This window comes from Homo sapiens, chromosome 7 (genome assembly GCF_000001405.40).
Source record: "Homo sapiens chromosome 7, GRCh38.p14 Primary Assembly".
NCBI classification, from domain to species: Eukaryota; Metazoa; Chordata; class Mammalia; order Primates; family Hominidae; genus Homo; species Homo sapiens.
The window spans coordinates 43,454,338-43,481,289 of NC_000007.14; the positions used below are offsets into that span (position 1 = coordinate 43,454,338).

General features: G+C 41.7%; 1 protein-coding gene across 19 annotated transcripts in view, besides 1 other annotated feature; it reads left to right on the forward strand.

Moving 5' to 3' along the window:
- HECW1 (HECT, C2 and WW domain containing E3 ubiquitin protein ligase 1) overlaps positions 1 to 26,952 on the forward strand; it is a 453,355-nt gene that overhangs the window by 341,691 nt on the left and 84,712 nt on the right. For all 19 annotated transcript variants that reach the window (NM_015052.5, XM_017011883.3, NM_001287059.2 and 16 more), the window contains 5 exons: positions 1,960 to 2,110; positions 9,323 to 9,462; positions 12,110 to 12,231; positions 14,583 to 14,768; positions 25,273 to 25,407. In NM_015052.5, coding sequence (NP_055867.3) covers positions 1,960 to 2,110; positions 9,323 to 9,462; positions 12,110 to 12,231; positions 14,583 to 14,768; positions 25,273 to 25,407 — 734 coding nt within the window. The remainder of the gene's footprint in view (positions 1 to 1,959; positions 2,111 to 9,322; positions 9,463 to 12,109; positions 12,232 to 14,582; positions 14,769 to 25,272; positions 25,408 to 26,952) is intronic.
- Positions 13,164 to 13,664: an enhancer, noted in NCBI's record as "H3K4me1 hESC enhancer chr7:43507100-43507600 (GRCh37/hg19 assembly coordinates)". NCBI's record gives its function as "activates a minimal SCP1, AML or CMV promoter by ChIP-STARR-seq in naive H9 embryonic stem cells {active_cell/tissue: H9 hESC(naive)}" and the evidence as "EXISTENCE:reporter gene assay evidence [ECO:0000049][PMID:30033119]".

Below are 26,952 nucleotides of genomic sequence, written 5' to 3' on the forward strand. Positions count from 1 at the left end.
TCATGTTGGATTCAAGAAAAATAGTTGTCCTACTGCTTTTACTAATATTAGTTTGGGATCCATTAAAATTTTTAAGTTTCTAGATCAAGATTAATTACCTAGTAATCATATGTATATACAATTTCATCCATGAGCTAATTACCATTTACACTTAACACTTGACAGCTGGATTATCATTAGATAATCATTAGATCTATTTTAATCAAAATCTCCTAGGACATATTTATACAATCTGCCTACATTTTTCCTTCAATTTGTCTCATAAGTTAAGTTTGGTGTTTGGGGATACTTTGGTTTTTACTGGGCATTATTTGACAATCCATCAGGTCAAGCATAAGCCATCATGCCACAAACAGATATACTATGTACATATAAAACCATAAATATGCCAAATATATTTTTTCCCTTAAAAAAATGAGAGTTGCTATGTCATTACCTGAATGATAAGTTTTCAATGAAACTGTTAGTATCTGACCTACTCCCGAAAGCTATGGCTTTTCTCACTGAAAAGGCTGGATGGTTTTCCTCCTTTTGCAGTCACTTTTGCTTTTCCTTCTTCTTCTTTAGTCTTGTGCATTTTCAGCATAACTTTATCACACTGCTGCTGTTTCCACAATGTGATATGTGGACTCTAAAAGCTTTGCCCATCTCTGTACAGCAGGCATTGCTCTTCTATGTTTCGCTCAGACGTGAACACATTGCTTCCAGCTCTTTTCCACCCACCTCACCCCAGCTCAGCCCCTGCCTGTATTATGTAGTGAATCATCCATGCTTCCACCTTTTTGTTTTCTTTTTTTTTGTTTTCTTTTGTTTTTAATTTGGGAAGCAAGGGAACTTTTCTTTATCTCGGGCTCCCTCTACAGTTTGTGATGGTTATTTATCAACAAAAGGGTACTTCCTAGTTACTGGTTTCGTTTGGTGGCCAGAGATATTTGACAGCTGCGTGTTGAATATACACTGTTAATTAACAACTTATCAAAACGCTGTTTTGAAACCCTAACAATCATTTCCTTCCATTCACCCACTCAAAAGGAAAGGCAATCTATTAAGTTTACTAAGTATAAGACAGAGGTCATCTAAATTCGCACATCCAAGATTTTAGAACAGTAGTTAAAACTGGCTTTAATCTGAGGGCCATTCTTCTCTCCACTGAACCTAATCGCCCTCTGTTAGACTTAGCAAAGAAAGCATTCTCCAGCATCACAGTGTCAGCTCGCACTGGAGGATACCCCAATCTTCCACAGCTGTCGTTTGAGTAGCCAACAAGAGTGACAGTGGTGATGGACATTTCTAAAGAAATAAATTCATTAAACAGTAGATTTTCTCTTTATAAATTATTAGAATTTTTGTATTCGTCACACCATCACACCATCACGGGTGTGATGACCCGTGCCTGTAATCTCAGCACTTTGGAAGGCTGAGGTGGGAAGATCACCTGAGGTCAGGAGTTTGAGACCAGCCTGCCAACCATGGCCAACATGGTGAAACCCTGTCTCTACTAAAAAATACCAAAATTAGCCGGACCTGGTGGCAGGCACCTGTAATCCCAGCTACTTGGAAGGCTGAGTCAGGAGAATTGCTCGAACCCAGGAGGTGGAGGTTGCAGTGAGCCAAGATCGCACCACTGCACTCCAGCCTGGGTGACAGAGCAAGACTCTGTCTCAAAAAGAAAAAAAAAAAGAAAGTATTAGAATTTTAACATAGGTGTTGATCAAGGAACCACAATTACTGTTTAATATGGCCCAGCAGAGAGTCTAAGTTCATTAAATTGTTTTCTGAGCTCCCGAGTTCATGCCAGTGCCCCAGAAGTCGTGGTGGCAGGTGCTGTGGGCAGGGTCTGGCCTGCAGCCATGAACCAATGGTGAGTTCTACCTGCAGAAGACTTGGAAGTTGTATGTGTTTCACGTGGGTCAGTAGTTTGTCCTTGATTTTTCTTTTTGCCTTTTTATTAAACACTAGACTGGGAAGCTCGAATTGACAGCCACGGGCGGGTCTTTTATGTGGACCACGTGAACCGCACAACCACCTGGCAGCGTCCGACGGCAGCAGCCACCCCGGATGGCATGCGGAGATCGGGGTCCATCCAGCAGATGGAGCAACTCAACAGGCGGTTGGTGATCAGTATGCAATGAGCTCCCCTAAACCACAGTGAAAGGAGAATGGCAGCTAGAGACGCTCCCCTTACACTTTTCTGCTCAGACTGTATGAGGAGACTGGAAAGTAATTAAGTATCTTAAGAAACCTGTTCCTAGTAGGTATTTGGAAAGCTAGATTTAGAATTTGGAGGCGAGAGACAAGTTAAGCTTGAGTGTCATTTAAGGATGGGAAATCGTCTAAACTTCTTAATAGCCTAGGCACAAAAATAGGAGTTTTTAACCAAGGGCCAGTGTATGCCCCTCTCCTGCGATGTTCACCAAGGATGTCAGTGTTCCTTGAACTTTCCAGGCACTGTACCCAAATTATACATAGATACACATTTTTCTGGCAGACTGGTCCACACCCATCATACAGTTCTCAAAAGGATAGAGACCTCAGTTAAACACATTCCAAGGATAGGTTCCATAAGAAAACTAAAAGCTGCTTGGAGAATAAACTGTCTCATAAATCACTGTATGCATTCCTACCCTGATTCCATAATTGATATATGCCCATCAATAATAATTCTTGAAAAGCCTGCATCTTAGAAAAAGAAATGTTTACAAGCATTTTTTGAGAATTATTTTGTTGAAAAACTAGGCCCTCTCTATTGAAATTGTAAAGATGTCATTTTGTTTTTAACCTGCAAACAAAGCCTTAAACAGTATCAGGCTTAAACAGTGGTCCATTCATGTCAGAGATGATGCAGTAAGCTAGTATAAAGCATTGTCTCTGACATCTTGCTCTTTAAGACTGGAGTGGCAGCTTCAGGATACTTTTAATTACCAGGAATGCAAACTGAGGCTTCCTTCAGTTGAAATTGCACCCACATGCTGTCTTGCTTTCATGTCAAGTATGAAAAGTATGAAGGTGAAGGAAAAGTTGAGAAAGACGAAAAAGAATGAAGAACTGGGTTTGTGGAACACACCTACTGATAGCAAATGCCTTTGAGACTTAACTGTTATCTGCCAGAAAGAAAAGGAGGAGAAACAATTTAGTCCTATTAAAAACACATGGGGCCGGGTGCAGTGGCTCACGCCTGTAATCCCAGCACTTTGGGAGGCTGAGGCGGGTGGATCATTTGAAGTCAGGAGTTCGAGACCAGCCTGGCCAACATGGTAAAACTCTGTCTCTACTAAGAATGCAAAAAAATTAGCCAAGCGTGGTGGCAGGCACCTGTAATCTCAGCTACTCAGGAGGCTGAGGCAGGAGAATCGCTTGAACCCGGGAGGCAGAGGTTGCAGTGAGCTGACATCACACCACTGCACTCCAGCCTGGGAGACAGAGTAAGACTCCATCTCAAAAAAAAAAAAACAAACAAAAAACATGGAAACAAAAAAATAAAAATGAACTTCTGTTTACTGTTGTACACAGAGGAGCATGCTTTAGGTGAAAATCACCAGAACATTTTTTCATTGCCTGAGCGTTTGGAAGACATTTGCTTTCCACTTTTCCCCATCAGCAGCCGAGTGTTTTAAGTCATTAACAAAAACCATAAAAGACTTGCATTGGCAGCACACTTTACAATCATTCTCACCCCAACAAAGCGTGTTACAGAGAGGAAGTCCTGATAACCCAGTTTTACTAGACATGAATGGACCAAAAATCCATGGGAGAGTCCTTTCATGGTGATTGCAACAAGATTCGTGTAACTAAAAATGTAGAAGACACAGTAAGCTCATCTTACATAGAGACCCTGTTGATTCCATAGGCAGAAGTTAGCCCCTAGGTCTGTCTTGCCAAAAATGATAAGCTCCAATTGTTTAGCAGAGAAACAGGGGAGGGTATCGTCAGGCTGTATTCATAAGAGGTACTGTTTTGAACACTAACCAAAGCAAGACAATGAATCTGAAGCAGAAGGAAGCACCTTGACCTATGGCATAAACCCATGAAAGTTTATCGGGGTGATCTGCTTGCATAATATAAAAATTAGGCCAAATCCATCCTGAACCAGGTCTCCAAATAAGTTTTATAGCCTTTGATATACAAACTCCTGTGCCCTCCAGTGGAGATGAACATGCTGGGAGAGGCAGCTGGACCTTGCTGAATAGGAAGTTGCATTTGCTACATCCATCTGGACAGATAAAAAGAAAAGGAATTTAGCACTTTGAGAAGGTACTTATTTCTTGTGAAAAAGCATACCTAGGGAAGATCAGATAACCTTCAGATAAGTATCCAGATTTTTCCATACTTAACCTATTGCTTTGAAGCATTTAAAATTTTTTGTATTTGGCATTATAACAGGCAGCCCAAGAAAGTACATTTCCAGTCTTCTATCCATCTCACATGCGACCACACAGAAAGTCGTTTTTTTGATAACCCACAGTTATCCAGAGAAATTTACAATGATTACTGGCTCACAGCCATGTGGAAGTATTATTCAGTGTTGCAAGGAGTTTCCCTTGAGCTGAACCAGATGATTGTGAAAATCAAATGTGTTTGTGCAAGGAGACATAAAACTAGGAAGTACAGAGTACACAATAGCAATCAATGTGTAAGCTTGTGTGGTAGGTCGCAGTGACCATGTTCCAACTCAGCCATTCCCCAGACGCGGCACACTCTTCCAGGCCTTTATGGCTTGGCCACATGCTCCCATGGCAGGAAAATGCCTCCCACCTGCCTCCCACCTGAAACATATCTCATCCTACAGACCTGACTCAATGTCGTGCCCCAGGAAGCCGTCCCAGAATCCCTCACACAGAGCCAGTGACTTCCTCCCCTATAGCTTCTGGAATGTGCCTGCCTCTGTGCCTGTTCTTACCTTTTTGCCTTACTCTTCTTTCTACCCTTTTCTGCTCCCAGCACCTAGTGTGGTACCAGAAGTTTAATACTACTCAGTACAAGATCATTTTCTGAGTTAATTCCCATGCTTTCAGAATATCCAGAATTAATTAATTCTACTTTCACAAATATTTACTGAAAAGCAGAAAATATAAATATGTATTCTTATTTTAAATAATCAACTGAAGTTTTATTTTTTAATTATTTGTATAAAATTATGATAATTTAAGGGAAATAGAAGTTTTAAATAGAAAAAAGTGATCTACACTCTACCCCAAGGATGATTTAGTTTTTTTTTTTTGAGATGGAGTCTCACTCTGTCGCCCAGGCTGGAGTGCAGTGGCATTATCTCAGCTCACTGCAACCTCCGCCTCCCGGGTTCAAGCGATTCTCCTACCTCAGCCTCCCGAGTAGCTGGGACTACAGGCATGCACCACTGCACTCAGCTAATTTTTGCATTTTTAGTAGAGAGAAGGTCTCACCATGTTGGCCAGGCTTGTCTCGAACCCCTGGCTTCAGGTCATCCCCCCGTCTTGGCCTCCCAAAGTGCTGGAATTACAGACATGAGCCACTGTGCCCAGCCAATTTAGCTTTTTAAAAACATGTATCCATCTTCAATTTCCATATGCATGCACAATTCTTACATGGTTATGATGGTGATATGTAGTTAGTTTCATATTCTTTTTTCACTTACTACACTGTAAGCATTTAATATTGCCGCATAGTCTTCAGGTTAACATGTAATTGCTTGTATAGTATTCCACTGAATGGCTGAAGTTTAGTTAACCTGATTTCATATTGTTGAATGTTTTGCTTATTGCTTTTGTCACTGTTTTTTGTCACAAGGGCCTGCTAAATACTAAGATTGCCTTATAGTGGAGGGTTTCCTTAGGGTTCTATTCCCAAAAGATTAGGCCAAGGGAGATAAATGTGGATTTGGCATTTGGTATCAATGCCTAACTGCTTTCTACATTAGACATTGCGGTTCTAGGGGTTTATTCTACCAACAGCTACAGCTTCACTTCCATCTTATCTTTTGATTTGTTTTTGTTGATGTAAGAGGTGCTCCTCGTATTTTGATGCCACTTACATTTCACTTGTTGGAGCAAGGGTCAACTTGTTTTCCATAAGCTTTTCTTTAATAAGGAGTAGTTTCTCCCATGTGAATTGTCTGTTCTTGGGCTTTTTTAAAGGGGGGAGGTTGTGTAGTTGGCTGATTGGTTTGGCTTGGTTTTGGAGGGCTTTTTTCCTTCTTGTTTGGCTTTGTACGTGTGTGTGCGCGCGTGCGTGTGTGTGCGTGTGTGCGTGTGTGTGTGTGTGTCCATTTACAAATTATGTATTTCAGCTGACTTTCTAGCTAATTTTCATTAGCCCTCTATCTATTATAAATATTTAACCTTTTGCTACAAAAAAATGGAGGAGGATATTGATGGATAATTCCTAATGAAATAGAAGAGAGCTGCCTCCCTCTCCTGTTTAAAGCTCGGGAGCCTCTGAGGCTGCAGTCCTGCCCTGAAAGACTGAGAGACCCTCCTCAAGTCACTGCATGACCTGCTTCCCCAAACTGCCTCTGTGCTTCGGCAGAGGTCAGACGTAGGGTCAAATGCAGGATTTGAGGCTGTTGACTCAGTAAGGCCTGCAATAACCAAGGTCCAGCTGAGGACATGTGAAGTAGGTTGTGACACTGCTGACATTATCCTCATCAAATAAGATCATATTTACTCATAATGCTCTGCTGTGTTTACTGCATATTGGGAAGGAAAGGAGAGGCTACAACTTGACATTTGTCTAAGCCCTATTCCAGGCATCTGTTGCTGAGTAAAACTACACCAAACGTAGTGGCATAAAACAACCACAAACATTTCTTCTTACCGTTATTTCTCATGGTTCTGGTTTGATTGAGCCCAGCTAGGCAGTTCTCTCCCAGAATATCTCCTAGTTGCAGTCAGAGGGTGGCCGGGGCTGGAGACTCACATATTAGGAGGTTGATGCTGGCTGTGGGCTGGGCCTCTCAGCCAGGACACCTGCACAGAGACTTTCCACGAGGCCTGGGCCACCTCAGAGCATGGCTGCTAAGTTCCATCACGAACTGTTACAAACTCTATTAGTCAAGGTAGTTGAAGGGGACATGGATTCTACCTTTTAAAAGGAGAGATACAGTTCTGGAAGAGCATGTGGGTCTAAAAATATCGTTGAACCATTTTGAGAAATGCAGTCTGCCATAAAGCATTTAGGGAATCCTCCCAGTAGCAGCTGCCTTAGTCTTTGGCAGGCCCCGTTCCCTGCCTTGGTCAAGGTCACACACTTGGGCAGCTTCTTGCTGGCAACCCCTGCTTTCCTGCCATGGCTACATTCCCTGAGTCCTCAGCAGAGAGAAGATCACAGAGTGCCATCCTTCACCATCCATCACTCTTCATAACCTCCCACCACAGATGTACGGGGTGGTGAATTACAACAAATGATTCTCTCTGTAATTCCACCACCACTCAGCTCATTGCCCCCTTCCACATTTTGTTCTAAGAGGCCGGCTCAGGAAATGCCTTGCAGTAACCACTACAGGCAAAGGTGGCTTCTGAAAGGTGTCAGAGTGAGTGGGAGTCTCTCCAGATAAAATAAAACTGAAAGAAAGCCCTTAGACCAATAGTTCTCAAACCTAGATATAAATAATACTTCCTAAAGAACTCGTTAGAAATGCAGATTTTTCTTTTGCTTCAATTTCTGTAACTTTAACAATCACTCAGATGATGCTCTTGCAAATGGCTGGAGACTACAGTAAAAAAAGCTTTCCTCTGTAAGGTCAAGGAAAGAGCGGGGCACTGGTCTGCAGAAATCCTGCCATAGTGGAGCCTCATCTGTGCAGCGAGCATCCCCGTGCTTTCCCACCTGGGACTGCACTTGGAGACAGGCTATTCCCTGCTACCTTGTCTCTCATCCTCCTCCTCCTCTTCACCCCCTCCCTCCACCCCTTCATTGCTTTCCTGGAGACAAAAAGTCTCCAGGAAAGTCTCCAGCCTAGGCTGTTGCAGGAGCCCCCAGCTGCTCTCCACAGCTCCCAGCTCCTCTCCTCCAGTGCATTCTCCACTCCGACACTGGATGATCAATCTCCATGTACATCTGGCCCTGCCTGGTTTTTTTTTAGCAGCCACCCATCACCAAGAGCAATGGTTCATTCTCAAGATTGATCCCTGGGCCAGCAGCATCAGGATCACCTGGGAACTCATCAGAAATGCACATTCTGGAAAAAAAAAAGAGAAAAGAAAAAAGAAATGCACATTCTTGGGCCCTACACCAAACCTACTGAATCGGAGACTCAGGGGGTGGGGCTGGCAGTCTGTGTTTTAAGTCCTGCGGGTGATTCTGCGTAGCTCAGGTTGGGGAACCTGTGGCCTAGAGAATAACACCCATCCTACTGCAGGGCGCCCTCTGGGGCTCCCTCTTCCCTCTCCACTGGTCTCCTGGCCCTGCCAGGTGCCCACACATCCTGATGCCGCTGCCAGGCATCTCAGAGCTCCCCAAGGGTGGCCTGCTTTTGTACATGTTGTTTCTTTTCTGAAATGCCCTTTCCCAACAAGCTCCCCAACAAATTCATACTCCAGCTTCACAATTTACAAACCTTGGGAGTCTCCTCATCTGTGTCCCACATACCTCTTGCCTGTCTGTGACAGCCTTTCACCTGGCTGGAGTTATGGCTTCTGTCCCATTTCCCTTTTGTTACATCTCGACTGTGTGTGTTTAAAGGGCAATGTCATATTCTAATCCTCTCTTCCATCTGAAAGTCCAGCACAGAGCCTGCACACATTGGAAGGGTTAGGAAATATTTAGTACTTGGCAAGGTGGCCAGCTGGCAGGCCAAATGACTAAATCCCCAACTTGGGAAGAAAAACAAAATGAGCCTTTGAATAAGCAGAAAACATTTATTTATTTGCCAGCATGCTATCAGATGTAATATTTCCATGACCTCTGCCCAATTATATCAATTACCCGACAAATAAAACTGAGTAGAACTGCTAGCCCAGTTTGTACACTTATTACAATAATGTTGAGGTAATTTGATATCTTAGTTGTAGCATTTTAATTTACTTCCCACACTCTTATTTTAGACTTAGCCTGATTTTGTTTAATGCAGGGCACAGGCTGTTTTGCATGATTAGTTATTATTTGTGTTGATTTTTTAAAAGTCGCCATACTTGAAACTCATCATAGCTTGCAAAACAAAAAGAACTTGAATCGTCTTAGAGATACTTGTCTTGCTAATTGTTCTGGCTATCTTGTGGGAATTTTAAGCATTTCTTTCCTGACATTCAAGACAATTCTTTACAGATTTCTCCAATTATCTGATTCAGAGTTTTGGCCCCCAAGGAGCAAACCAAAGTTAACTCCTGTCTTTCCATTTTCTAATGCAAAGGTATCAAAACATTCAGCGAACCATTGCAACAGAGAGGTCCGAAGAAGATTCTGGCAGCCAAAGCTGCGAGCAAGCCCCAGCAGGAGGAGGCGGAGGTGGAGGGAGTGACTCAGAAGCCGAATCTTCCCAGTCCAGCTTAGGTATTGGAGGAGGGGTCCCCACAACCTGTGATGGCTTTCAGGGGCTGTGTGACAGAGGGCTACAAGCCTCCCACCCTGCCTCATGGGGAGCAATGTGCCCCAGGGTGAAGAGAGTGGAAGTCCAGGGTGGAGGACAGAGGCATGCCTGGTGCCCGCAAGGGAAAGCAGACAGAATGAGCTTCCCACCAGGAAACTTAGGAGAAGTGATCACAGTGAAGGAAACACCACCACCCTGGCATGGGGATCTGGAGACAGGAAAGCAGATGAATTCTGGGGATGGAGCTGAGTTTGCTACAGTGCTTGTGGAGCAAGGCAACTTTGTCAGTGGCTCAATCATTTATTGTTAAGTAAATGTTTTATTTATTTATAAGTTATTGTTAAGTAAATTTATTGTATTTGTTGGTGTTCTAAGGATTTTTTCACTTATAAATAAAACATGCAATAAAAATTCACAGTATATTGCAAAGGAGCCATGTGACAACACTAGGAATAATCACTTGTTTGTAGAATAAAATTCAGTTCCCCCAAGAGAGGAACCTGGGAGTGAAGAGGTTTTCCAGCATGCCACAGGAGGGAATTTTTTCCCACTACAGTAGGCATTCACCTTGGTCTGGTTTTCATGGTTTTCATTTCTTTGAATTTGCCCAAGTGGGACTCAGACAAGGATAATCAAAAGGCATGAGACTGGCTTCCACTTTTTTTTTTTTAACCTGTAATGAGATAAGATTATCACAGTGACATCCTAATAATCCACTTTCTTTTTAAGTTGGGTAAATGATGGCAGATTTATTTGCCAAAAGAAGGCTTAGAGAACAGTCTGGGCAGGCAGCACTGGGATTCCAATCCTGCCAGGTCTTAGCTGTCTACAGCAATGCAGAATATTGGACATTTTCATGTGATTTTTCAAAATGCACATCCACAGTTCCACCACCAATTTTAATTTCCCCCTTTCTATTCATTTTACCAGGTATGCTAACTAAACTGACTAGTTTAGGTTTTTCTGTTATTATTATTATTATTGAAGACAGAGTCTCTCTTTTTCACCCAGGCTGGAGTGCATGGTGCGATCATAGCTCACTGCAGCCTCAAACTCCTGGGCTCAAACAGTCCTCCCAACACAGCCTCCTGAGTAGCTGGGACCTCAGGCATGCACCACCATGCCTGGCTAATTTTTTCATTTTTTGTAGAGACAGAGTCTTGCTATGTTGCCCAGGCTGGTCTCAAATTCCTGGCCTCAAGTGATCCTCCCGCCTCAGCCTCCCGAAGTGCTAGGATTACAGGCACGAGACATCACACCTGGCCTGTTATTAATTTCTTTGTTCAAACTTCTGAGAGAGACATGGTACAATAGCCAAGTAACTAGAAACATGAGGAAAAAGCAGCAGAAAGTTTATTTCTGAGTTTGATATTAAATAAGTTGGCATTTACTGTATAGAAAAAAATCCCACAATTAGTGGCTGAAACTCACAGCCATGCATCTACCCCACAGTTCTACAGGTTGGCAATTTGAGCTGAGCTCAGCTGGGTGGTTCCTCAGGATGCTGCTGGGCTCACCTGTCCATCGTGGGTCAGCTGCGGAGTCGGCCACAGGCTGACCTGAGATGGCTGCCACTAGGGTGGCTTGTTCCTGCTCCTGTGGCCTGGTGGCCTCTCATCTTGCAGCAGGCTTGCCCAAGCTCATTCTCATGGCAGTGGCAGGGTTACCAGAGAGTGGAGACACACAGGTCTCTTGAAACCCTGATGCAGAACTGACCCGTTGTCACTTCTGACATGTTCTATTGGTTGAAACAAGGCACAAGGCCAGCCCCAATTCAGCAAGGGGAAGAGCAGCGAAGTCCCAATACAACTGGGTGTGGATACAAGGAGGAGAGGAATTGTGGTCCTTTCTGCAAACAATCTATCACAGCTGTGGTTAGCAACTTGTGAAGGAAATAAGAAAAAAATAGCCAGGCATGGTGCTGCATGCCTGTAGTCGCAGCTACTCAGCAGGCTGAGTATCTGGGAGGATGGCTTGACCCCAGGAATTAAAGGCTGCGGTGAGCTGCAATTGCGCGGCTGCACTCCAGCCTGGATGACAGAGCGAGACGCTGTCTCAAGAAAGACAAAGAGAGAGAGAGAAGAAAGAAAGAAGAAAGGAAGAAAGGAAGAAAAGAAAGAGAAAGAAAGAAGAAAGAAGGGAGGGAGGGAAGGAAGGAAGGAAGGGGGGAGGAGGGAGGGACAGAGGGAAGGAAGGAAGGAAGGAAGGGGGAAGGAGGGAGGGAGGGAAGGAAGGAAGGAAGGAGAGAGAAGAAAGAGAAAGAAGGAAAGAAAGATGAAAGAAAGAAAAAGAAAGAAAGGGAAAGAGAGAGAGAAAGAAGGAAGGAAGGAAAGAAGGAAGGAAGGGAGGGAGGGAAAAGAAAAGAAAGAAAATCATTGTGATAAAAGGGAAGAGATGTTGGAGGACTTGAGCCTTACTGAAGTTATGCGAAACACTACTAAGGAAATGATGATTCTTAACTGACATACATAAAGTAATGACACTTGGCCTAAATCCAACAGTCTGCTGTGTGGGTGAAGGCTTGTGTGCTGCCACTGTCAGGAGCGAAGTACAGAGGTTGAAATGCCTTTTTCCCAATGCATTCTGTTGCTTTGCTTCACTTTTTTTCAGATCTAAGGAGAGAAGGGTCACTTTCTCCAGTGAACTCACAAAAAATCACCTTGCTGCTGCAGTCCCCAGCGGTCAAGTTCATCACCAACCCCGAGTTCTTCACTGTGCTACATGCCAATTATGTGAGTGCCCTAAAATGCAGAGGGGGCGGCCTGGCTCGGCAAGACCCAAAACACAGCTTTGTAAAGTCATCTGATAGATCTAAAAGGGTAGAATTTTAACATAAGCAAGAAAAAACAAAGAAAACAGCTCAGTCCACTCTTTTGACTATCCGTGAGTCTCCCAAAAAGGAAAAAGGCTGGATTTGGAAATGCTGTTGCCTCTTTGGGTTTTTTTTAAGGCTGAAATGTGTTAATGTCAGTGAAAGTGCTTTGGAAACAAACCTGTTTTTATTATTATTAAAATTTTAAAGGAGCAAGATTATGAATTGGCCAGATTCCCTTCAGCCTAATCATTTTATAAAATCATTTTCACTGATACAATTTCAAAGCAGAGTTCTTCTAGGTAAATAACTAGGTTTCCTTTTGATATGGTTTTTTCGAATATCGTGCTGAAGTTAAATTTCATATGATTTTACATATGTAGTTTTTTCATTGCTTTTTTGGTATTTTCAAGAAAGCAATGGCATGATATCACTATATTCATTAATTTTTCCATTCAACAAACATTTTCTGTGGTTCAGGCTCAGATCTAGGTGCTGGAGTCACAAAGACAGATTAAGGTGACACCTAAAGAGTAGGAGTTCCCATTTTGAGGAGCAATGACGTGAAAAACATCAGCCCAGTGTGACAGGACCAGGCCGAACTGAGGGAGGACAGAGTGCTCTGGGGGCGCCAGGGAGCATTCTTGGGGAGGCGGCTGAATTGAGTCCTGAAGGTCGAAAGTGGACAGGAAGAAGTCCAGGCAGAGGGACATCTGTAGAAAGGATGCACCCGTGAGGAGGCCTGGGGGATAAGTCCAGGGTGGTGAGTGTGGGTGGCTGGCAGGAGGGAGAGGGGAGGAGGGGCTTGAGATTGGGCAGCAGATCACCTGGTAACTCATGCAAAGGAGCCTGGGTCTACTGCAGCAGGCCACAGGAACCAAGAGTAGCACTTGGGCTGCCTGACCAGAGGGGTTGATGATGCATTTTCTCTGGCAGAGTGTCGGGGAGAGACTGAGCTGAGGGGGTTAAGACACAGGCTGATTCAACCGCTGAGTGAGAGATGATCTGGCTCTGACCTAAGGAAGGGGTGGGAGCATGGCAAGGAATGGCTCCATTCAGGGACATTTCTCGTGGACTCAGCAGCACTTAGGTCCACCGTGATCACGAGTGGGTGCAAGATGAGAACTCAAAAAAGACAGTGTAGTTTCTGCTTTGGGCACCTGAGTGAGGCAGTGACCGCACTAAGCTGGAGGTGGAGTTTGACTGGGTGATGGAGGGCGTGGCTGCAAAGGGGGGGATCAGTTTTTAGCAGGTTATTTCTGAGAAGCCTGTGGGATGCCCTGGGCTCAATTCCAAGCAGCTCCCCAGAGGTGTTGTGGGGACCACAGGGAGAACGCGCATGGCACATGGCCATGCCCCAGCCCTGGGTGCAGGTGGCACTGGGCCAGTAGGTGCCACTGGCCCAACCCCCCGTCTACACGTGGTCTGTCCTTTCACCACCAGCCCCCACCACACACACACACACCAACCCTGTGTACCGTCACATTGTCATTTCTTTCTTCATCTCTTCCCATCCTCCAACCCCCCTACACATACACACACACAAGTTTTTACATAGGGTTCAAAGGAATGACAGACCTCTCATGTCCAGCCTTCAATCCCCAGAGGCCCTAAATTAATGCTCCCCATTTTAGACAAGTAGGAGGACCAAAGGCAGACCTCAATAGTCAGAGAAGGGACCATGGAGGAGAGAGAGGAGTGAGGCTCAGGCAGGTAGAGGGAGGCCAAGGAGAGCCAGGCATGGCTGAGACAGCGAGAAAACCATGTGGAGTCGCACAGAGAGGTGGGCCGTGTCCCAAGCTGCACAGCACTCAGGTGGAACGGATATCACAGATAGTCCATGTGGGCCAAGGGGGCATGATTCAATGCACATTCACTTTTTTTTTTTTTGGAGACAAGGCCTTGCTCTGTTGTCCAGGCTGGAGTGCAACGGCACAATCATAGCTCACTGCAGCCTCTATTCTCAGACTCAGGTGATCCTCCCACCTCAGCCTCCCAAGTAGCTGGGATCACAAGCACATGCCACCATGCCCAGCTAATTTTTTAAATTTTTTGTAGAGACAGGGTCTCGCTATGTAGCCCAGGCTGGTCTCGAATTCCTGGGTGTTTACTTCTTGAGCAAGAGCTCATTTTCTGAGGCCTCTACCTCACACTCACAATAAACTGCTGTGTCACAATCACACTTAGCAGTGTTAGGGTGCTCATAGTGTGCTTGCTCTATGTTTTTCCTAATTCCCCACTCCTTACCCCGTCCGCCCTGACCTGTCTCAGAGTGCCTACCGAGTCTTCACCAGTAGCACCTGCTTAAAGCACATGATTCTGAAAGTCCGACGGGATGCTCGCAATTTTGAACGCTACCAGCACAACCGGGACTTGGTGAATTTCATCAACATGTTCGCAGACACTCGGCTGGAACTGCCCCGGGGCTGGGAGATCAAAACGGACCAGCAGGGAAAGGTGAGTGTGACCCACGTGCGGGGCTTTCATCAAACAGGCTCCTTCCCCAGGGTGAAGCTAGCAAGGGCGTGAGGAGGAGAGTGTGGGGAGGAGTTATGTCTGAGAGATGTGCTATCGGCCGCCAGCAGTAAAGGGGCTGATAACCACCCACATCTGGGTTTCTCAACCTCAGCACTACTCTGAGGAATACCCTGTGCCTTACGGGACATTAGCAGCACTCCTAGCCCTCACGCTGCTAGATGCCAACTGTTGTGACATTGCTATGTGTTCCCTGTAATTAAGAACCACTGTCTACATTTTTTTTAAATTTAGGTTTGGAATGTGGAACTGAATTCTGTCCAATGACCTTTCGGTTGTTTGCCTCCTTAGACAGCTAACTCTCAGGGGATGAACTCATTGGTTAAATGCAGTGACATTGTTAGATTATTTGTTGTGATTTCTCTAATACACCTTAAGTTTTCTGTAAAACAGCCTAACAAGCAGGGTGGGGTGTGCTAGGCCCATGTGATCTTCCTGGCTTACATTTTGCTTCTGTATAACCTTAACCCAAACTGGGTCTTCCTGGCCATGCTTTAGAAGACCAGCTGAGTCTGAAAACAAGAAGGATTTTTCCTAATCTTCATCAGCCATCTCGATGTATTCAAAGGACAGGCCAAGTACTAGAACTGAACCTGTGTAACCTTCTATGAACTTTACCAGAGAGAATCCCTCCCTCTTTATGGTCCAAGGAACCAGAAGCTTTGCCTGCAGTCATGTCTGTGACGTGTCCTTTCCTCTGTGAACATGGGCCTGCAAAGCCACGTTCCCCAAAGGGAGCTGATGGGGCATCAATGTCCCCTCGAAGCCATGAGTCTCTCTCCTATAAACCCCTTAGTATGCCTCAGAACCTGGACTCTCTGGAGTGTATGGGGAAAGAATGGGGGACTCATTACAAGTCCATTCATAAAATGAATCTCCAGGACCAGCTCCTCTGTAACCAGGGATGAATTAGGGGAGGGGAAAGGACATGTGTAGTAGAAAAGTCACTGTAGCCAGGATCTGCTCCCTGGGACCTTCTCATTGACTGGACGTGGCCTCTGTTGGGAGAGTGACAATGATTTGTATGTGGGGACTTGGTGATATGTATTAGGGTGGGAAAATGAAGCCTGAGCCAGAACAGAAAGTGAAGGAGTGGCTTATCAGAGCTCGGTTTCGGGTAGCCACGTTTACATTTATTGCTTAACCAGGATGCCAAGATGACACCACCATGTTCATCATGCAAACAGCACACACCAATGTGAACAGTTTGCCGAGCCTTGGATTTCCATGACTGCAGCTTTTGCACCAAGATAAGGATGACAGGGAGCACAGTGGAATGACAAGGAGGCTTCCCAATGCAATAAGCCCTAGTTCTCCATGGCACACATGCAGATGATGTGACATCTCCTGGTCATCACACCAGCAGGGAAGCACAGAGATGCACTGTGAGAGTTTTGTTCCATTTGGGAATGCATATGAGGGAATTTCTGACAAGACCTCTTCCCCCTAATTCTCTTTAGCAAGAAGATATCATACATGAGAAAGAAAAAATCTGAATTTCAAATGAGAAGACTTTCAGTTATGACACAAACTAGCTGTGTGCCTACACACACATGCTCACACACACACACATAAATGGTCTCAGCAATTTCTTATTAATTGAACACACACACATACACACACTCATAGTTACAGAATGTCTAAGAGGCATACCATGTAGTGAATTGCTGGGGAAAGTAGCCTTAGACTTGCAATGTATTACCACAGTCCATAGGGTGGTCAGAGAGGAACAAAGGAGGATAGTGGGAAAAATACATGGACTAGTCCATCTCAGTCTAAATACATGACCCTGTGCAAGTCACTCCACATTTCTGAGCCTTAAAATAGCAACAGTAATGCCTATGTTGCCTTCATGATTTTACAACCAGATAAATAAGTTAATAAGTTAATGAAGGAATGATTATTAATATCATGACAGATTAGTAGTATCTACCACTTTCTCTTAATGTCCCCAAAAATAATCCAAGATCAAGATTGTGAAGTGGGGGAAATAAAAGAATATCTCATTGCCAAAGCCCATTGATAAGGGGAATAGATTGAGAAAAGTATGTTTGGACCGTGTCTTACAGGTTTCACCCTCTAACTTGGAAAGGATATGCTGCACAGGAGGCTGAGAGTTAGGAATACAACTCACTAAACAGTGGGGTGGCCATAGCTCACTATGCAAAAGCCACCTTCATAGCTGGCCAGAGCAGGTCCTTGCCCCTCACCCTGGACAATCTGCTTCTTGCTTTATCTACACATTCAAAGATGGCAACATTTGCTTTTATTATCCACCATGGTAGGAAGTAGAAGGGATGGGCAGAGCTGTTTGGTGTCTTTGAATGCGTGGTCATCTCTACAAAGGGGACAGAGGTAAGCAGCTCAGAGCTCTGCTGCTTCAGGAGGACCGGGGCAAAGAACACGCTGGCATCTGACTCATCTGCCATCTTCAGAGTCTGAGAAAGGAGGACAGAGCCTTCTGCCCAATTTTATAGAGATTGCATGTGTGCCTCAAACCTCATTCCAAGTCTAAGCTGAGGGAGGCAGTCACCATCAGAGAGGTAGGGTGATGGGCCCCATGGGTCCTATCTTGTGGCAGACATGAGACCAAGGCAGCCTCTGCTAAGGAATGAATAAATAAAATGAGAAGGGGCCTAGGAAGAGACACTACTGCAAGAAGCAAACAGAATCTTGGTCTGACAAAAAGCATGTCTTTTTTTCAGAAAGTATATTTTTTTCCCAGAAAGTATAATTTTCTTTGGAAAATAGAACTATTTAAAAGACATCTATTCATCATCCATGAAATGGTACAGGAGCACATGACTTCTGTTATTAACTAAGAGGAAAAAGCCGCAAACAGAAAACAAGCTGAGAGGAAACAGACATAAGTAGTCTGAAAATAGCTGTTTTAAGATTGCAGGGAAAAGCAAAAGGTAATAATAGCATAGGGATAAAACAGAGCAGCACTGATGCTATGTGAAATCTCATCACTGATATGGCGTATGAACACGGAAACAGCCTCTAAAGCAGAAGGAAGGAACCAGATTTCAATCAGTGGAGGAGACAGTAAAAAAAAAGAAATGCAAAAACTGAAAAAAGAAAAAACTTATCTTCTCTATGCCTGTCCTAACCATCCAAGTTAATACCACGACCTTCCCTGACCCCTAGGCCATGTGCTCCCCCATGTCACTTACACATTTATTAGGTTTATTGCTTATTGTCTGTTTCTTGTGGCAGGATTTTAAGCTTTTTAAGAACAGAAATCTTTGTTTTGCTCATTGATAAAACATCAAGGGCCAAGAATCGTGCCTAGTATATAGTTGGCATTCAATAAATCTCTGTTGCACCAATGACTTATAGAGTTACCTGAGGGAAGAAACCAGAATACTAGGTATAGCAGGAATAATTAAGTATTAATGTTAATTATATTAAATAAATATTAATTAAATATTAAAATTAAAATGTTGCTGATTTAAAACAAATTATTAAGGTGAGCAGATTAATTGGGCTCACTAAATTACAGTAAAGGTAATTAAAATACATTATATATCTACACATGTTCTGGAATGTCTTTAAATAGAAATTCTTTAAAAATCTTATCAATATGCAGCCATGATAATATAAAAGTTACCTACAAAAGATTAAAAATCAGACAAGCTTCAAATTTCCCATCCTAAAAATGAAACTAGAGAAATCCACAGACACAAAAACAACCTCATGCAAAATCAGAGTTTACCCTACTCTTTTACCCATCCTGATTGTTACAGTTTGATAGTTTGGATATGATTTGTTTGACCCCTTCAAATCTCACACTGGAATTTAATCCCCACTGTGGCAGTGTTGGAGGTGGGGCCTAGTGGAAGGTGTTTGGGTCACAGGGACAGATCCCTCAGGAAGAACTGGTGCCATCCTTGCAGCAATGAGTGAGTTCTCACCTTATTAGTTCCCTCTAGAGCTGGTTGTTAAAAACAGCCTGGCACCCACCCTCTACCCCCACTCTGTCTGGCTTCATCTCTTACCATGAAATCTCTGCACATGCTCCCCTTCACCCTCCACCGTGAGTGGAAGGAAGCAGCCTGGGGCTTTCACCAGACACCCAGTCTTCCAATCAGCAGGATCATGAGCCAAATAAACCTTTTTTCTTTAGAAATTTCCTGGTTTCAGGTATTCCTGTGTAGCAACACAAACACACTAAGACACTGATGAAACACCAAAAGCCATTCTCCAGATGGATCACTAATGAATCAAAGCACGACATTAATAGTGAGAAAATGATAGTATAAAAAGGACTAGTGGTGAGTATTTAAATCAATCAAATACCTAAGTATAAATAAAAGTAATTGTTGTTAAAATGCTTTAAAACATATTGGAAAAGTCTAAATAAAATATGGGAAAAGTTGTATAATACAAATGGAATAGTTGTATAATAACAGTCTGGATCAACATCACCAGACTGGAATAAAAAAAAAAAAGTAAGGAAGTGAGAATAGGGAAGATGAGCAGGGGAAGGAAAGTTATGCTAGTTGGGCTCAAGGGGAGTAAAACGGGATCATTTAAAAAACAAAGGTTAAATATGGTAATCTGACAAGCTTAAAAGGCAACTGTTTGTACCATTTAAAATAGAATTTTTCTCTTCCAAAATCCTTCAAAAGATAAAATCAAACAAAATAGAGTTTGTATGACAAAGCACACAAAAAATTGCAAAGAAGATGGAAATAATAAAAGTAAGATAACAAGTAAGTAAGTAAAGTAAAAAAGTAAAGCCAAGCATAACAGTTATGGCAATAGGTGGAAACATGATAAACTTAGATACCAAAAGGAAAACACTCTCAGCTTTGGTAACAAACAGATCCAGTTTACAAAAAGACATACCTAAGAGGTGATTTAGAAAGTTTAGAAATAAAAGAATAAATATTAATATAGTGTGAAGACAATAACAGAAAAACCAGTGGTGATGTATTAATATAATACAAAGGGGAGTTTCAATCATAATCCTTAAATGGGCCAGGCGCGGTGGCTCACGCCTGTAATCCCAGCTCTTTGGGAGGCCAAGGCGGGTGGATCACGAGGTCAGCAGATCGAGACCACCCTAGCTAACATGGTGAAACCCCGTCTCTACTAAAAATACAAAAAATTAGCTGGGCATGGTGGCGGGTGCCTGTAGTCCCAGCTACTCGGGAGGCTGAGGCAGGAGAATGGCGTGAACCTGGGAGGCAGAGCTTGCAGTGAGCCGAGATGGCGCCACTGCACTCCAGCCTGAGCGACAGAGCGAGACTCTGTCTCAAAAAATAAATAAATAAATAAATAAAAATCCTTAAATGGGGATCAAAGAAATATTTTATATTAATCAATGGCAAAATAAAGATATAATAATCATGTACCTTATGAGCCAAATAATAACATTATATTAAATAAAGAAAAATCAAGGAGAAATGAAAGGAGATGAAAGACATACAGTCGTAGTAGGAAAATGTGTTTTATATCCATCAGTTTGACAGATTAAATAGACAAAATAATTTGAGATTTAAATAATATAACTTTATGTGAATGAAACATATTAATTCTTTTATTAGAAATAGAGTTTACATGAATGGATAAACAAAATGTGGTATATACCTGCAATGAAATGTTTGTCCTTACAAAGAAATGAAATTCTGACACATGCTACAACATGAATGAACCTTGAAGACATTGTGCTAAGTGAAATAAGCAAGACACAGAAGGACAAGAATTATGATTCCACTCATATGAGGAACCTAGAATAGATTTATAGAGATAGAAAGTAGATCAGAGGTTCCCAGGGGCTTCAAGGAGTAGAAAATGAGGAGTTATTGTTTTGTGGATACAGTGTTTCAATTTGGGAAGGTGAAAAAGTGCTGGGGAAGGAGAGTGGTGATGGTTGCACAACCGTGAGAATTTATTATACTTAATGCCACTGAACTGTACACTTAAAAATTGTTATTGTTTTACGTATATTTTGCCACAACAACAAAAAAGGAAAAGGGCCCCAAAAATGAAGCTGACAACTTTTCATGATTATTTTTGTAAGTGGTGATAGTCTACAATGCAAAGAAAACAAAAAAGCAGAATATAGCCAGGTCACATCCTGTGGCCATATAGCAATAAAACTGAATTGTAAGTAAATTTAAGCACAATTGTAAGAACAAAATCTTTGCCAGCTGGAAAGTAAAAGCAATGTTCTAGATGACTCTTGGGCTTAAAATAAAATAAAGACTTAGAAACCATTGAGAAATTGTTGAAAATACATGTGAACAATACTTAATAAAATATAGAAAGGATATACTCAAAGACTTAGTAGCATTAGGGAATTTCAGTTGATTAAGAAGTGTTTTTTAAAAATTACTTGATAAAAATTAAATATTTATTTATTTATTTATTTAGTGAGACTGGGTCTCGCTCTGTGTCCTAGGCTGAAATGCAGTGGCATGATCACAGCTCACTGCAGCCTCGACTTCCTGTGCTCCAGCAATCTTCCCACCTCAGTCTCCTGAGTAGCTGGGACCACAGATGCAAAACCACTACGCCTAGCTTTTTTGGTATATTTTTGTATTTTTTTGGTAGAGACAGGTTTTCGCCATGTTGCCCAGGCTAGTCTCAAACTCCCAAGCTCAAGAGATCCACCTACTTTGGCCTCCCAAAGTGCTGGGATTACAGGTGTGATGAATACACATTTATATTTTAAAAACAAATACTCTTGGTAAACTAAGAATGTAAATATGTTTTCGTGACCTAATAAAGCCTCCTTTAAAACAGTGGACATCTTATTGTACAATCGGGTCTAGTAGTTTTCCCTTAAAAATCAAGAATAAGAAAAGATTTCAACCACCACTTCTTATTTAACGTTGTTCTAGAAGTACTCACCAATATTACAAAAAAAGGAGGTAAAAATAGAAGAGCCCTCCTAAAGAAGGAGACAAAATTAACATGATTTGCAATTAAAAATCCAAGAGGATATACTTAAGAGTCATTTATTTGATGGAAGCATTTAATATGATGAGCAGACAAAAAGTAAATACACAAATAATAACTTTCCTGAGTACCAGCAATGAAGGGTTATAAAACATTATAGGAAAAGATACACTCAGAAGAGCAACAGATAATATTAAATACCTATAAATTATCTTAACCAGAAATATGTGTCTTTCAGTAAAACAACTACAAAACTGTACTAAGAAAAAAATTCTTTAATAGACATGTTCAGAAATGGGAAATGGTTACACCAACTATCATGAGGAAAGAATTCTCTCCGAAATCATTTGCAGTCTCAAAGTGATTCTAAACAAAATCCCAATAGAACTATTTTTGGAACTTAATAAAATTAATATTAGTTCCTCTGGAAAAATGAAAACAGACAAGAATATGTAAGAAAATATTGGAAAAGAAAGAGGAAACTTGCCCTACAGATGTTAATAATTGGAATAGTGCGGTACCAGTGAAAAGCCTCAGGCCACTGGAGCAAATAAAATATCCTGAAACACAGTAGTATTTATAAGAAATGTATTTATAATAAAACAATAGGAAATGAATGATTTGGAAAAGTGAGCTCTCTGAGAAAACTGTCAAACTACAACTTAATATTATACCAAAATAAGTTTCAGAAAGGTAAAGATTTAGTGTTAACGATTAACTCACCTAAACTAAAGCTAGAAAAATATAGTTAAACACTTAACTGACCCCTGGAGAGGAATGATTGAGAGATTTGAATACATAGGAATATTAAAAATTCAGTGTATTAGAAAATAAAGCAAACAAATATCAAAAGCAAATTTGAAAGCAGATGTATAACTTAGCACTTGGATAATAAATAAGAAAACTTTAACATCCCGACAACAATAGCAAAAAAGGGAACAGACATCGCAGGCAACACACTAAGGAAGGAATGACTAATTAGCCCATGAGAAAATGTTTTTCTTTTGTAGATTCCCTGGGAAATTGTAATTCATCATTATTTACCATTTAACATTTCTAAGAGTTCTTTCAAAATTAGTATTTGTGAGAGCATTATAAAGAGGAAGATTCATGAACTAATGGTAACATGATAGATCTGGACAACTGTTGTGAAGATAGTTTATTAGTATGGATCAATAATCATAAATATTTTTCTAACTTTAACCAAGTAATTAATTCAACTTTTAGAAATGCATACTAAACAATTGCCACAGATACACAAATATAAGGAACCTATTTAATTTAATTTCTAAACATCTCAGCATGTATTTGAATAATGAAAAGTCTATTTTTAATATTTGTTAGGTTAGCTTACACTTGTGTGTTTAAAAAGCATGTTGATGCATTTTGTTTTTTCCCATTCCCATTTAAGTCTCATTCCATTTCCTTGTATTTTTGACGTCACTAGTGTCATTTTTTGAGTCCTCTACCAATTTTTCAAGGGTATATCATCTTCAGTTCCAATTGAACATACAGCCCTTTTTGAATCTGTGTGGCATGCTATCTTGGGGAATTTTACTGCAAGTCACAAATATTGATTCACATGATATTAGTAGTGTTGTTATTTACCTTTTTCCTGGGGGGTGTATTTTTATCTCAATTATGAAACCACTTCCTGTATGAGTTTTTATAAAGCTCTTTAAACTGCTTGTTTACAGTGACATCAAATACTTGAAATTATAAGCTCATACCTTCCAAGAATAATTTCTAAATCTGTATAAAATTTCTTTTAACTACTTTTGTCAGGTAAACCTAAAAATATCTAAAACTAGCATTGATTGAGGTCATTTAAAGCTGATATGACTTCACCAAATGTTACTGTTGGTTGAAAAGAGAGTAATTAAAAAGTTGTCTTATGGTACAAAGGGTTTTGTTGAAAAAAAAGGTAATAACTTTCTCTTTTATGAGAGATAATTTTAAATTTAAAGAACAATGTTGCCATATATTGGAATATATATGGTACTCAGACATGGCACAAGGATTTATATTCGAGAGTGTTCGGCCAGGCTTGGTGGCTCACGCCTGTAACCCCAGCACTTTGGGAGGGCGAGGTGGGCAGATCACCTGAGGTCAGGAGCTCGAGATCAGCCTGACCAACATGGAGAAACCCCATCTGTACTAAAAATACAAAATTAGCTGGGTGTGGGGGTGTGCACCTGTAATCCCAGCTACTCAGGAGGCTGAGGCAGGAGAATCACTTGAACCCAGGAGGCAGAGGTTGCAGTGAGCTGAGATCGCGCCACTGCACTCCAGCCTGGGTGACAGGCAATGAGAGTGAAACTCCGTCTCAAAAAAAAAGTGTTCATTGAAGCATTATTTTAAAACAGTAAAAAAGTCAAATGTCTAACAATTAAGGGTACTAAAATTAATTGTTATACTTCCATCAAACAATATCATGTAGTCATTAAAATTCTCCATTAAAAGAATATTTAATAATTTAGGGAAATACTTATAAAATAACAAGTGAAAAACCTCATAAAATTATAGATCTTGATGTGAAGAAAATATGTATATATTTGAATGTATAGAAAAGAAAAAACTAAGGAGGAAAAAATCAAAATTTTTTTTGATTTGGGGTGATTTTTATTATCTTCTTTCTACTTTTTTATCTTTTTAAAGTTTTTTCTCAGTGAAAATATACACATTCTATAATAAAAAAGAGCATTTATCTTAAATATAAATAAAATACTCTACAAATTATTAATTACTAGTATTATCTTAACCCAGTAAAGGCTCTATTGCTCTTACTTTCTGTGTTGAATAAAGTATTATAGTCACTACTTAGAAACTCCATGTTTTATCTATGACTGATACTGCTTCATTCAGCTACTGAGCAAACAGGCACAGTGTCCTGTTCCCCATTTAGATCAGTGGTCTCCAACCTTTCTGACACCAGGGACCAGTTTTATGGAAGGCAATTTTTCCACGGATGGGAGGGTAGGGGATAGTTTTAGGAAGACAAGCACATTACATTTATTATGCACTTTATTTGTATTATTATTACATTGTATTATATAATGAAATAATCCTATAGCTCACTGTGATGTATAATCAGTGGGAGCCCTGAGCTGGTTTTCTGTGATTAGATGCTGCCATCTGGGGGTAACGAGAGACGGTGACAGATCATCAGGCATTAGATTCTCATAAGGAGTGTGCAACCCAGATCCCACACATGCACGGTTCACAATGGGGTTTGTGCTCCTATGAGAATCTAATGGCACCACTGATCTGACAGGAGGTGGAGCTCAAGTGGTAATGCTCACTCGCCCGTGGCTCACCTCCTGCTGTGCAGCCAAGTTTTTAACCTGAACTAGATAGATGAGTTTTGAGTAGATTAAAAAAGGAAGTAGGGGTAGGGGAGGCTGGGCAGAAATAAACCTGAGGCCTGGGCCCTGTAGCACTCCTGTATATTACTGACTCCATTTTGGCCTATTCTCACACCACACGGTGCTTTTTTTCACTGGTCTGTTCGCAGTCTTTTTTCGTGGACCACAACAGTCGAGCTACCACTTTCATTGACCCCCGAATCCCTCTTCAGAACGGTCGTCTTCCCAATCATCTAACTCACCGACAGCACCTCCAGAGGCTCCGAAGTTACAGCGCTGGAGAGGTAACCCTCCCTACACCCCGCCCTACTGTTCACCGGTCACAGTCTCTGCCTCTTCCATGGGAGCAGAACAGTTCTTCAGTGGCTAGGATCTAGGGTTGCCTGCGCTGGAAGAGATTAAGCCATATGCACCCTGCTTTGTAGAAGAATGATGACCGGGACACCCACTTAACACCCCAGAGCTGTCTTCAGTTACCTTTTCTGCCTTGCCTTTTGTCCCACACAATCACCACTACTAAAAACCTGTCTAGTTGAAAGGAAACTGAAAATGCACTGTCAGGAGATCCCTACACTTATGGCTGGAGCTGTGCCTCCTGAGGCCTGTCATGTGTGAATACATGGAACTGCCATGGTATGTCTGACTAACTTTAAACTTCTACCTCTCCAAAACATCCTAGAAAATACTTCAATAATGTATCCATGGACTAGAAACTAGGGGGAATTAACCAGGCCACAGGAAGTGGTGCTCTATTCCCACTCTATTCGCGCTCTACAATGTGCTCTTTCCTTGGCAGCACTTTGTGGCTACCATGAAAGGCTAAGGATCACTTCATTGCCTTTCTGAATTAGTATCTATATCCCATACTCTTCCTGCCCTTCTTTCTCGAGCCAAAACTCAAAACATAGCTCTTTTTTTGCTCCTGATCAGTTCCTGACAATATCATGAGCAAATTTCTTTTTATGTCCTAATTGACATTTCCCAAGTATCTGTGCCTTCTTTTTGTGGAAACCACCAGGACCTCAAGAGATGTGGCTTCTGAGAACTACTTCCCATAAAACAGCTTTTAGAATTGGATTATCATAAGGTTAAAAAATCAAAAATATGGAGTAGGAAGGAAAGGAATATATGTGTATGTAGGTGAGTGAGTTTGTGTGTGTGTGCGTGTGTGTGTGTGTACATATGTGTGTGTGTGTGTATATATATACACACACATATATACGCATATATATATATACACACACACACACATATATACGCATATATATATATATATACACACACACACATATGCCACAGTGAGTCATTCCAGGGAGAGCCAGGGAGTTTCTCTCCAGAGAAACTGGGAAGATAACAATTCACCCTGCAGCCACCTCCTCCAGATAGCAAACATAAGTCTCAAGGGAAGAGCCTATTGTTGATGTATCGGCACCAGTTATTTACCACTTTTTCAGAAGGAGTCCTGTGTATACTCTGAGAAACATAACTATTTCCAACCAGTGGCACTCATGGCTTAATGCCAGTGTGATAAAATGAATGTTTTTTCATGGAGTCGTCTTAAGTATCATTGTTTCAGGAGACTGCTGAAAGCATGCTAAATCTTTCTTTCTTCATATATATAAGGTGTATGTGACTAGGCAGAGAGGGAGTACTACACATCCCTGAGCATTACATGGGTGTCAGGATTTGCTAGATGCAGACGTGTTCACAGACTACAGAAAGCAATGCCCCAGCTTCCCAGTTCAACATGCGTAGTCTCCCTCCCTGGTGGCATTCCTGTAACACTTCACAAAGTACAAGGTGGGTTGTCTTGAGATTATAGGGAATAA